Source organism: Homo sapiens, chromosome 6, assembly GCF_000001405.40.
Source record: "Homo sapiens chromosome 6, GRCh38.p14 Primary Assembly".
Lineage (NCBI taxonomy): Eukaryota > Metazoa > Chordata > Mammalia > Primates > Hominidae > Homo > Homo sapiens.
Window position 1 is genome coordinate 111,605,037 of NC_000006.12, and position 12,388 is coordinate 111,617,424.

The 12,388-nt window shown below is 47.3% G+C and overlaps 1 protein-coding gene across 3 annotated transcripts in view, besides 3 other annotated features; it reads right to left on the reverse strand.

The window, feature by feature from the left end:
- Nucleotides 1-842, reverse strand: part of TRAF3IP2 (TRAF3 interacting protein 2) — a 50,498-nt gene extending 49,656 nt beyond the window's left edge. For all 3 annotated transcript variants that reach the window (NM_001164281.3, NM_147686.4, NM_147200.3), the window contains exon 1: nucleotides 740-842. The gene's annotated coding sequence lies outside the window, so the exon portion shown is untranslated. The remainder of the gene's footprint in view (nucleotides 1-739) is intronic.
- Nucleotides 551-620: an enhancer, noted in NCBI's record as "active region_24949". NCBI's record gives its function as "activates an Ori minimal core promoter by ATAC-STARR-seq in GM12878 lymphoblastoid cells {active_cell/tissue: GM12878}" and the evidence as "EXISTENCE:reporter gene assay evidence [ECO:0000049][PMID:35858748]".
- Nucleotides 911-960: an enhancer, noted in NCBI's record as "active region_24950". NCBI's record gives its function as "activates an Ori minimal core promoter by ATAC-STARR-seq in GM12878 lymphoblastoid cells {active_cell/tissue: GM12878}" and the evidence as "EXISTENCE:reporter gene assay evidence [ECO:0000049][PMID:35858748]".
- Nucleotides 1,806-2,438: an enhancer, noted in NCBI's record as "H3K4me1 hESC enhancer chr6:111928045-111928677 (GRCh37/hg19 assembly coordinates)". NCBI's record gives its function as "activates a minimal SCP1, AML or CMV promoter by ChIP-STARR-seq in primed H9 embryonic stem cells {active_cell/tissue: H9 hESC(primed)}" and the evidence as "EXISTENCE:reporter gene assay evidence [ECO:0000049][PMID:30033119]".

Here is a 12,388-nt window from a genome sequence, read left to right on the forward strand (position 1 = left end):
CAAGTTTCTTGTCCTTTTAAAAAATTTGGCCTCTTGTTCTCCTGTTCCTTTAAAAAAAAAAAAATCCCCCTATTCTAAGATACCATCTTGAACTTGAAAGTCACAAGAAGCTTGATTAGCTTCTAAGATCAAGTTCTGGCATTTCTCCCCCTTGTTCCCAAAGGCTCCGTCCAGCGCCAGGCTGGGAGGGCTGGAGGGCGGCTGCGGAGAGGGGCCGGGAGGCGGCTCACAGCCAGCACAGAGCTCAGCAGAACTTCCTGGCCCAAAAATGTGCTGTTGATTTTTTTCCCCCCTGCACGAAACAAGGATTGAGAAAACTGCCACTGACGTGTTCTGGGGCTGAAAGCCAATTACTTAATCTTTGCCATCCCTGGCTCTCTCTTTGGAGAAGTGGGGCTTGAATTCTTGAGAGAAACTTGTGGGGACACTAAGTACCCAAACGAATGGTTCCCAGGCAGCTCCGAGCTGTCCCCGTGTGCGAGCCTCCTCTCCTCAAAGGGTTAACCCGGCGGGGCTCGCTGGCCTGAAATACTATACTAGCAACACATCCTTGCAGCACAAACTTCACTGTCATTTTCTCAGCTAAGATGGTCTCTGTGCGAACAAGTTAAAGGAGGGGAGACGAACACAGAGGAAAGTAGAGGCAGAATGTTTCAGTAAAGGAGAAACAGCGTGCTTTGGGAAATAGGTCAGAGGTGAAGAAATAAGACCAGGCAAGTGGCAACTCCGAATAACTTACCTTAGATCCACCACGGACAGACAGACTGGGCCCGGAGGGTAGTCGGCTCTCGGCGGCTTCTCGTCTCCCTCCACCTTCTCCGGGCCCAGGTAAGTAGAAGAACAGGCTCTGAAGCAGGAAGTGGAAGCTGTATGCAAATTTCTACGGAGCCTAGGAAGCCTCTGCTCAAAATCTCCCTGTGGGCAGTGAATCAACGGCTGAGGAGTCACTTTATTTCTTAAAACAGAAACCTCCTTCATTCATGAGAAAGGGCCAGTGACCAATTAGGCGGCATTTTTGTTTTCGCCACCCAGCTAAGAAGCTGCCCAGGAGTGGGCAGAACCTCAGTGTAGTCGCAGTGCCCTCGCCTGGGAGGGTGTCTCCGGGAGGAGATTGAACTCGAATGTTAAGAATTAGTAATCATTAGCAGCTCCAAAGGAGGGGATTGTGGGCAGATAATGGGGAAGAAGAGGGAGTCGAGCTTCTTCCACCTCCTCTAACTGCTTAAAACATCAGCATTGCCGAGCGCGGTGACTCACGCCTGTAATCCCAGCACTTTAGGAGGCCGAGGCGGGAGGATCACGAGGTCAGGAGATCGAGACCATCCTGGCTAACAAGGTGAAACCCCGTCTCTACTAAAAAATACAAAAATTAGCCGGGCGTAGTGGCGGACGCCTGTAGTCCCAGCTACTCGGGAGGCTGAGGCAGGAGAATGGCGTGAACCCGGGAGGTGGAGCTTGCAGTGAGCCGAGATCGCCACTGCACTCCAGACTGGGCGACAGAGCGAAGACTCCGTCTCAAAAAAAAAATTTAAAAAAACCCAAAAAATCAGTATTTGCTGCCCATAACCACTGGGGGGGTGGGGGGGGGCTCACTGACCATGCTCCTGGACACACGTGTACACACAGCATACACATGCCTGTGGCTTGTGCACACACACCACCCTATTGTCAGGCACAAAAAAAGTGGTTAATTTTAAGAACACACACACACACATACATACACATGCACACATGCACACTAACCTCCTCTGGCTGCATTTTCCTGACCTCAAGATTTTTTTTCTCCCCTTTCCTTCCCATTGTTTAATCAGTAGCCTGCAGAATTTATTGCATGAAGGAGCGCTGCAGGCAGGATGATACCCAGCGATGTGAACAGAGAGAGAGAGAGACAACTGCCTTTCGGGGCAGCAGTCAGTAATGGGAGCAGTGTTAGCTGGAGCTTTGGAGTCAGGAGGACCTGGGTACGAACTCAGCCATGTCACTGGCCAGCTGGGCGCCCTGGGCAGACACACCATGCTCCTGGTGCTGGACTTGTCTGCCTGTTGAAGGGGTCCAAGTGTCAGTCCACTCAGCCGGCTATCTCTCTACTCTCATCAAGGGGACAGGCCCCAGAGCATCCCTGTTCAGATTGTACCAGGTTCTGCTCAAGCAGGATACAGGAAGCAGGTTGCTCAACATTCCACAAGCAGAGAAAATGCAGCTTGTTTTTAACACAGTATACACAGGTTGTTTGCATTTGGTTTGCAGAAAATGATGCAGCTATTAAAAATCATCAATATGTATGTATTATCTGAGCCACTAACATGAAAAAGTGGCTCTGAGATATTATTTAACTAAAAGTATTATCTTATTTTTTGCCAATATATGTGACATATACACACACATAGATATGTATATCGATTTTTTTTAAGAGACAGTGTCTCAGTCTATTGCCCAGGCTGGAGTGCAGTGGCGCAATCATAGCTCACTGCAGCCTTGACCTCCTGGGCTCAAACAATCCTCCTGCCTCAGTCTCCCGGGTAGGTGGGACTACAGGTGCACACCGCCACACCTAGCTAATTTTTAAATTTTTTCTAGAGACAGGTCTCCCTGTGTTGCTGAGGCTGGTCTTGAACTCCTGGTCTCAAGGGATCCTCCCACCTTGTGAGCAGCAAGCCACCCAGGTGCCGAGGCAAGAGACCGAGGACACGAGCTGTTCCAGTACAATAAAATATAAAACAAGAATAGTTATACCAGATATAGATCTTAGATATGATTATATATGAATATCATTAATCATTAGTTTGTAGCAATTACTCTTTATTCCAATATTACAATAAACCTTGCTCTATAATCATAACCTAGGAAAAACCAGGCCATACGAGATAAGAGCTGAGGGGACACAGTGAGAAGTGACCAAAAGACAAGAGTGCGAGCCTTCCGTTATGCCCAGACAGAGCCACCAGAAGGGCTCCTTGGCCTAGCGGCGATGCCAGCATCTGGGAAGACGCCTGTTGCCAGGCGGACCGTGGTCTAGTGGTAGCGAAAAGCGTCAAGGAACAACACCCGCTACTTAGCAGACGGGGAAAGGGGTTCCCGGGGGAGTTTAGAAAAGACTGCCCCTCCACCTCTTGTGGAGGGCCTGACAGCAGTCAGCCTTGCCCACAGTTATCCGGAGGCCTAACCGTCTCCCTGTGATGCTGTGCTTCAGTGGTCACGCTCCTAGTCCGCCTTCATGTTCCATCCTGTACAGCTGGCTCTGCCTTCTAGATAGCAGTAGTAAATTAGTGAAAGTACTAAAAGTCTCTGATCTACAAAAATAATGGCATAAACTGTCTTTCTCTTTGTCTCCTCTCTCTCTCTGCCTTGGCTGCCAGGCAGGGAAGGTTCCCCTGTCCAGTGGACACGTGACCCACGTGACCTTACCTATCATTGGAGATGACTCACACTCTTTACCCTGCCCCTTTTGCTTTGTATCCAATAAATAACAGCGCAGCCAGACATTCGGGGCCACTACCGGTCTCCGCGCATTGGTGGTAGTGGTCCCCGGGGCCCAGCTGTCTTTTCTTCTATCTCTTCGTCTTGTGTCTTTATTTCTACACTCTCTCGTCTCCACACACGGAGAGAGACCCACTGACCCTGTGGGGCTGGACCCTACACCACCTCAGCCTCCCAAAATGCTGGGATTGCACGTGTGCCTCACTGCACCCAGCCCAACATATAGATTTGTGTTTGCTCACCACTGGGCCCCAGGGGACCTAGCACACTGCCCTGCCTAGGACATTGTGGGCAATCACTGTGTATCTGTTCAGTGACCAAGTTAGAAATATCTGGAAAGATGTATGCCAAACTGTTTAGTGGTGCTCACTTCAAGGGAATGCGATTGAGGAAAATAAATAAGGATAGAGGGCTTTATGATATATACATATGGACTATTTGATTCTTTTTTTCACAATAACATGTAGGACTTTTTCATTTAAAAGAATGAAGTTTTTTAAAAAAGTTTTATTACCTTGGCTTTGAAGTTTCTGCTTCAAAATTATTATTAGAGTCATCTTTTGGAGGGTAGGAAAAAATAGCATTTTCTGTGGTCCGGTTGGTACCAGGATACTTTGAGAGAGCTACTGGAGTTAGGAAATGGGAACGGAAAAGCAAAGAAGAATGGCAAGGGGAGGAGCTAGCAGGGAGAGCGAGGGGAGCAGGAATGGAAATATTTTTCATTTCTCTTTGTTGTCCTTAAATGGATTGGGAAAGGCCTGAAGATGCTCTGCCGAGTACCACCTCTGAAATACAACCCGCCAGGGAGAACAAAGGGAAACTTTTCTCCAGTTCTCCACCAACTGTTTTCCTGGGTGTGAGACCTAAGAGCCCTGTAGGAAGAACACAAGTGCCGAAGTGCTGCTTTTCATTGCTGTTGGCTGGGCCTTCCTCTTGTCTACAGTTTGTTTGTTTGTTTGTTTGAAACGGAGTCTTGCTTTGTCTCCCAGGCTGGAGTGCAATGGCACGATGTCGGCTGACCGCAACCTCTGCATCCTGGGTTCAAGCAATTCTCTCACCTCAGCCTCCCGAGTAGCTGGGATTACAGGTGCCTGCCACCACACCCAGCTAATTTTCTTGTATTTTAAGTGGAGACGGGGTTTCACCATGTTGACCAGGCTGATCTCAAACTCCTGACCTCAGGTGATCCGCTCGCCTCCTGTCTAAATTTATCATGAGCAGAAAGGCAGGCACTTCAGGGAATGAGTTCATGGTTCCCTCTTAGAAGCCTCTGCTGGGGCTCCGGGCTGAAAAGCAGCCTGAGGATGGCCACTGTTTAGAGAGGGTGTCCTGAACAGGAGAAATCTCCTCTGAACCTGCCTGAGGCAGTTATGGTGAAGTACAGGTGACCCAGGCGAACACACACAGCTTTTGAATTGCTGTCACGGGAGAGCAACTCTTCACTGAGGACCTACCCTACACTCCCTTTGAGCATATCTCATCCTCCAAACAGTCCTGTGAGGTGTGTTTACTGTCATTCCCACTTTAACTTTGAGGACTCTGAGGCTCAGAGATACTGAGTAACTTCTGCAAGGTCACACAGCTCATCTATGGAGGAGTCAAGCCCAGAGCAGTCTCCCTTCCAGGTGGATGTTATTACTGCCCCCTCCCTGCACCCCGCCACAGCCCCCCAACCCCTACCCTCCATTGCCCTGTTGCCATCTGTTCTTCCTACATGCTTGGGTGGAGCACAGGTAACACACTTTCTTTGCACAACTCTTGACAACGCTTAAGAAGGGAAAAAAAGGTGTAGACAATAAAAGGGTGGGGTTGTGACTGTGCCACAGCCTGGTGCTGTGTTTATATGTAAGGATTGCTGTACAGATCATAAATAGAATAGTCAAGATGTGGGTCAGTCTTCTCTCTCTTGTTAGAAATCTAGAAGGGGAGCATGTGTGTTTGCCAGATCCTAGAGTTTGCTCAGTGAATTCGTCAGGGTTCTGCAGAGAGAGAATCAACAGGATTACCTCCGTGATTATGGAGGCTGAGAAGTCCTGTGACAGGCTGTCTGTGAGCCGGACACCCCAGGATGCTGGTAGCATGGCTCAGTCCAAGTCTGAAGGCCTCAGGACCAGGGCAGCTGATGGTGCAACTCTCAGGCCAAGGCCAAAGGCCTGAAAACCCAGGGGCCACTGGTGTAAATGCTGGAGTCCAAAGGCTTGGGAGCCTGGAGTCCTTGTCCAATAACAGCAGAGGAAGAGTATAACTCAGTTCCAGCAGACAGATTGACCCATTCACCTTTTCTCTGATTTTGTTCTCTCTGGACTCCCAGCAGATAGAATAGTGCCCACTCACATTCACTGTGGCTCTTCCCCACCTAGTCCACTCAGACTCACATGCTAATCTCCTCTGGAAACACCCTCACAGGCACACCCAAAATGAATGCTTTATCAGGTTTCCAAACATTCCTTAATCCAGCCAAGTTAATACCTAACCATCACACTCAGTGTCATTGTCTGTTCCGGCTACTGTAACAGAATACCATAGACTGGGTGGCTTAAACAACAAACATTTATTTCTCATAGTTCAGGAGGCTGGAAAGTCCAAGATCAAGGCACTGGAAAATCTGGTGTCTGGTGAAGTTTCACCTCCTGGTTCATAAGTGGCCATCTTCTCATTGTGTCCTCACATGGTAGAAAAGGGGCTGAAGAGTTCTCTGAGGTCCCTTTTATAAGGGCACTAATGTCATTCATGAGGTCTCCACCTCATGACTTAATTACCTCCCCAAAGTCCTACCTCCTAATATCATTATATTGGGGGTTGGGATTTCAATACATGAATTTTGGGTGGATATGTCATTCAGTCTATAATACTTAGTGTATTAATCCATTTTGATGCTGCTGATAAAGACATATCCAAGACCAGGTAATTTATACAGGGAAAAGGGTTTAATGAACTGATAGTTCCGCGTGGCTGGGGAGGCCTCACAATCATGGCAGAAGGCAAGGAGGAGCAAGTCAAATCTTACGTGGATGGCGGCAGGCAAAGAGAGAGCTTGTGCAGGGAAACTCCCCTTTTTAAAACCATCAGATCTCATGAGACTTATTCACTATCATGAGAACAGCACAGGAAAGACCTGCCGCCATGACTCAGTTACCTCCCACCAAGTCCCTTCCACAACACATGAAAATTCAAGATGAGATTTGGGTGGGGACACAGCCAAACCATATCACTTAGTATTTTTTATTTATTTTTTTTATTTTTCATTTTATTTTATTTTATTTTATTTTAGAGACAGAATCTCGCTGTGTCACCCAGGCTGGAGTGCAGTGGCGCAATCTCGGCTCACTGCAAGCTCCGCCTCCCAGGTTCATGCCATTCTCCTGCCTCAGCCTCCCAAGTAGCTGGGACTACAGGCGCCCGCCACCATGCAGGGCCAATTTTTTGTATTTTTAGTAGAGACGGGGTTTCACCATGTTAGCCAGGATGATTTTGATTTCCTGACCTTGTGATCTGCCCGCCTCAGCCTCCCAAAGTGCTGGGATTACAGGCGTGAGCCACCACGCCCAGCCAATCACTTAGTATTTTTTAAAAAGGCATAAGAAGATAAAGAATATCTTATTCCACTCCCTAAGCAAAACTGACCAAACCATTTGGATCTAATTAGAAACTCTCCATTCTATAGCATTAATCTATGGAAAGAAATGAAAAGGGAAAGGATTCATTCCTTGGACAAACCTTGATTTTACATTTTTAAAAGCTATAATTTCAAGTACTAAAAAGGCAGAGTGAAACTATGATGTTTCACGTGGAAGAGAAGACAATTACCATCATGTTCTTCCCTGAGAAGGGCCCTTATCCAAAGGGTCTGGTGTGTTCAAACACCAACTGGCTAACTCTCCCCACAGCCCCTCAGTGCCCCTCAGTGGACAGTCATCGCTAGGGTCCGAATGTCTGTGTCCCCCCAAAATCCATGTTGAAAACCCTATCTGCAATGTGGTGGTATTAAGACATGGGGCCTGTAGGAGGTGATAAGGTCATGAGGGTGGAGCCCTCAGGCATGGGATTAGTGCCCTTTAAAAGAGGCCCAAGGGAGCCTCCTGGCCCCTTCTACACATAGAAGGCACCATCTATAAGGAACAGGCCCTCACCAGACACCAGATCTGCTAGCACCTTGATCTTGGACTTCCCAACCTCCAGAACGGTGAGCAATACATTTCTGTTGTTCATGAATTACTTGGTTTAAGGTATTTTGTTATAGCAACCAGAACAGACTGAGATAGCCACAGAGGAGTTGCTGCTAGGGCAGAGACAGGAAGAGAAGAAATGCTCAGGCTCCCAGTGTCGGGTCCTGCCACACCAGACCCACTCTAGTCCCACAGCCTGCAGTGAGCACCTGCCTTATTCCAGGCATATGCTTGGTGCTAGGCATGTAAATGGAAAGATTCTCAACATGTCTCTTTCAGAAGCAAAAACTGGTGATGCAAGCAGTTCCAAACTGGCCACTAGACAAAGCTATAGAGTCCACCAGTTGCTTCTGTTCCACTGCTTTTGTGGGCTGCTTCCAGTCCAGAGAGGCTGCCCTGCAGGGCCCTGGAAGATACCAGAACTGACCACCACCCTCCTCCTCCACCTCCTGCCAAGCCCCTGGACCCTGCTCTGCTTTCCTAGTGACCCTTCCCTTTGGGTGAGCTCCTCTCTGGAACAGGGTCTTGTTCTGTCATCAGATTCAGTCAGGGGACCTCCTGAATAGAAGTCCTGGTAGCATGGAGTCTCAGAATGGAAGAGTTAGTTCTCAATTTGTTTTTTCTTTCCAAGAGGTTCCTTGACTCCAGTGCAAATTAATTAATTAATTAATCTATTTATTTATTTTGAGACAGTCTCACTCTGTAGCCGAGGCTGGAGTGCAGTGGTGCGATCTTGGCTCACTGCAACCACCACCTCCTGGGTTCAAGAGATTCTCCTGCCTCAGCCTCCCGAGTAGCTGAGATACAGGCACCCGCTACCATGCCTGGCTAATTTTTGTATTTTTAGTAGAGATGGGGTTTTGCCATGGCTGGTCTTGAACTCCTGACCTCAGGTGATTCACCTGCCTTAGCCTCCCAAAGTGCTGGGATTACAGATGTGAGCCACTGTGCCCAGCCCCCAGTACAAATTTATTAACCTCCTTCCCCTACTAAAGGAATACTGGGAACAGCAGGCTTTGTCAACCTACAAAAGGTTCTGTTAAGCAATGGATGCCTGTTCAACTGACACTTGCATACTTACTCAGGGAGCACTCTCAAGTTTTGGGAAAAGTTCAAGATGATCTGTTCCAAGATGACTGACTCTCTGTGGTCACCTGGACCCAAAGGTTTTGGCAGCTTTTCTTGTTAAAAAGTGATTAGGTTCTCTACACTAGGCTCCCCATGACTTCCACCACAATAGTAGTAGCTAAGCTCGAGAGAACACTTGGTGAGCGCCTACAGGGTTCTGAGCACTTTGCATGCACTCACTCGTTTACTGTTGACAACACCTCTGTGAAGCAGGGACTATGAGATCAGCTACCTTTCATGGAGCATCTAATACATGCAAGGTGATTTTCACCGTCTGTATAATGAAGTGGAGAAATTTACTCACCAGAATTCCAGAGCTTCTCTTCAAAAAACAGGTGAATAGAGTCCAGATTCTGCTTCCTATGAAGGCTGAACACAGCAGGGTGGGTCAGATGAGAGGGGGTGTTTGGAAAGGGATAAAGGGACAATGACAATGTAGCATGGGGCCAGCAGAGGAGGGGGAGGAGGCACAGCAGTGTGGCAGTGAGAGACTTTGTGGAACAGGGTGGCAGCGACAGTAGAAAGGACAGGGAGGAGCTTTAACATGCTTTGCTACGTGACCCATTACATTGTGCCCTTCAGGACAATCTATCATAAAGTTTGACATTCTTCTTCAAGTTTTCTCTAGTTGGATTTACCCAGTTTAACTTTTGGATGTGTCCATGGACAGCGTTATTTAGTTCACATTTTAAAATTAGGATGTTTAGTATAAAAAAACCCAGAAAATATCAAGTGTTGGAAAGGAGGTGGAGAAACTGGCACACTTGTGCACTGTTGGTGGGAATGTAAAATGCTCCAGCTGCTATGGAAAACACAGTGACAGTTCCTCAGAAATTAAAACCAGAATTACCATAGGATCCAGCAATTTCACTTCTGAATATATATGTATATATACACCCCAAAGAAACGAAAGCAGAGGCTCAAACAGCTCTCTGTACACCTGTGTTCATAACAGCATTATTTGCAACAACCAAGAGGTAGAAACAATCCAAGTGTTTATCAACAGATGAATGGATACACAAAATGTGTTCCATTCATACAATGGAATATTATTCAGCCTTAAAAGGGAAGGAAGTTCTGACACTACAACATGAGTGAACCTTGACACATTGTGCTGAGTGAAATAAGCCACAAGGGACAAATACTGCACGATCCACTTATGTAAGGGACCTAAAGTAGTCAAATTCACACAGACAGAAAGTAAACGGTGGTTGCCAGGGGCTGGGGAGGAGGGAAGTGGGGAGTTATTGTTCAGCAGGTACGGACTTTCAGTTTGCAAGATGAAAAGAGTTCTGGAGATGGATTGTGATAATGGTTATGCAACAATGGGAATGTGCTTAATCCCACTGAATTGTACAACTTAAAATGGTTAAGATGGTAAATTTTCTGTGTATTTCACCACATTTAAAAAACAACCCCAAGGCAGCTGTGCGAGATAGGTTTTATTACTTTTATTCCCCAGGTGAGGAAATCCAGGCACAGAGAAGTTAGGTGCCTTGCTAGGGCTACACAGCTGGGCGTCAAATCAGGAGCTGACTCCCTAAGAAAGCCACGCCTCTCTCCCGCATCAGGCATCACAGGAGCCACTCAGGGAGCAACGGAGGGCGCTGGCTGTCAGCTGATGCCACAGAGATTAATCTTGGGCGGGCCTAGCCTCTCCTTTCTGCGCGTTTCTCTCTCTAGACTGCACTTCCTCCAACCCTGCATTTTCTAGGGTCCTTATTCCCTTCTCTGCCTTTCCCCATCAAAACATTCTCTCAGAGAAAAACCTGATCACACATTTATACCTAAGTTACACGGTGTGAATTTAAGTCAACGCACTGCCTCTCTGAGGGGTGCTTGCATGTTAAGCCTCATCACCCTCTATGAAATGAAAGGCTTTGTTCCATATTAAAGGAATTTCAGGCATCAAGGAACAAGTGGGGAGAAATTGGTGGCAAGTGGGGCAATGATAACCCAGGAAAGGCATTAAATGGTGAAACTTTGGGCACACAGTTAGAAGGGAGATAGATTTTATGGACATGCTGATCTTTCAGAGCTCCTCAAAGATGTGAGGGGTGGGTTTGTGGGAGATGGGAGGGTGGACAGTTGATGCTCAAATCCTCCCTCTGAGCAAGCGTAGCTGCCTGATTTCCAGACTCCAGACACGTGTTTATCACTAGAACCGTGTGCATCCTAGAAAAGAGAATCCAGGGGTTGATTTCTTCAGCAGATCACTTCTCTGACAGTTCTCAATGCCACCTGTCTGCATTGTGAAATCCCAGTCCCAAGCAGCTGGGTGTGGTAGCTGGAGCTCTCTGTCCATAGAATCTGAACAATGATTCCTTTAGCGTCAAGAATGCATTCCACATACTCACTGGCAGACTGTGCTGTACAGAACCTAAGGCGAATCCTGTGGACATTGATGCCTGTCTTCCAGGTGCTTACAGAGTAAGACTGAATGTTCCCAAGGAGTAGAAAAGACACCATCCCAAAAGCATTCAGGCTAAGCGCCTGCATCTGAATCAGGCTTCCTGGTCTGAGTTCCTCGTTTTATCTCCTGCCAGCTGTGTGGCCACAGGGAAGTTTCTTAATTTCTTTGTATCTCAGTTTCTTAATCTGCGTAATGGGGATAGTAATGTGTCTATTTCATGGGTAACAAAGGCTCCGAATGGACCGCTTCTGGATGCCTCCTTTATGAGAAGAAAACGTCTCCTTCCCACCAAGGGGGTGTATCCTCTCCCCCAGCACACAGCATCGTAAGTGGGGACCAGAGTAGATTTTAGCCCCACCAAGTCTGCTGTGCCTTCCTCAGCCAGGCACAACTGCACAACTGTACACAGCAGCCTGTAGGATAGTCATGAAGATCAGATCAAATGACCTACGTGCTGCGTCCAGCATTTGGCTCAATAAATATCAGCTACTATTATAATTGATATTAAATAAATGCATAACTCAATTACTATACCAAGAATCACTTATCAGTCAATACTGTAGGGGGAAAAAACTCAACAAAATAGTAGAGAATATGAAAATATTCATATGGGCTGGGCGCAGTGGCTCACGCCTGTAATTCCAGCACTTTGGGAGGCCAAGGCGGGCAGATCACCTGAGGTCAGGAGTTCGGGACCAGCCTGGCCAACATGGCAAAACCCTGTCTCTACTACAAATACAAAAATTAGCCAGGTGTGATGGTGGGTGCCTGTAATCCCAGCTACTCAGGAGGCTGAGGTAGGACAATCGCTTGAACCCAGGAGGTGGTTTTTGCCGAGATCACGCCACTGCACTGCAGCCTGGGTGACAGAGGAAGACTCTGTCTCAAAAAAAAAAAAAAAAAAAGAAAGAAAAAGAAAATATTCATATGTAGTAATGAGATGAATTTTTATGCTGACAATTGAATAAGGGAGTATTTTTGTACGATTGAGAGTGTACTACAAATCAGAGACCCCAACCACACATGAGGATCCAGTTGAGAAGAAAACAAAGGCAGCAGCACGTACCTCTGGAGGGCTGCTGCCTGCCCTACTCTGTGCTCTGTTCTGGGACAGACCCAGCACTGCGCCTCTCCCACCACATGAAAGCTCCAGGATAAGTAGAGCCGTTCTCACTCTCAAAGCCTGCTGCCTGGATACGCATAC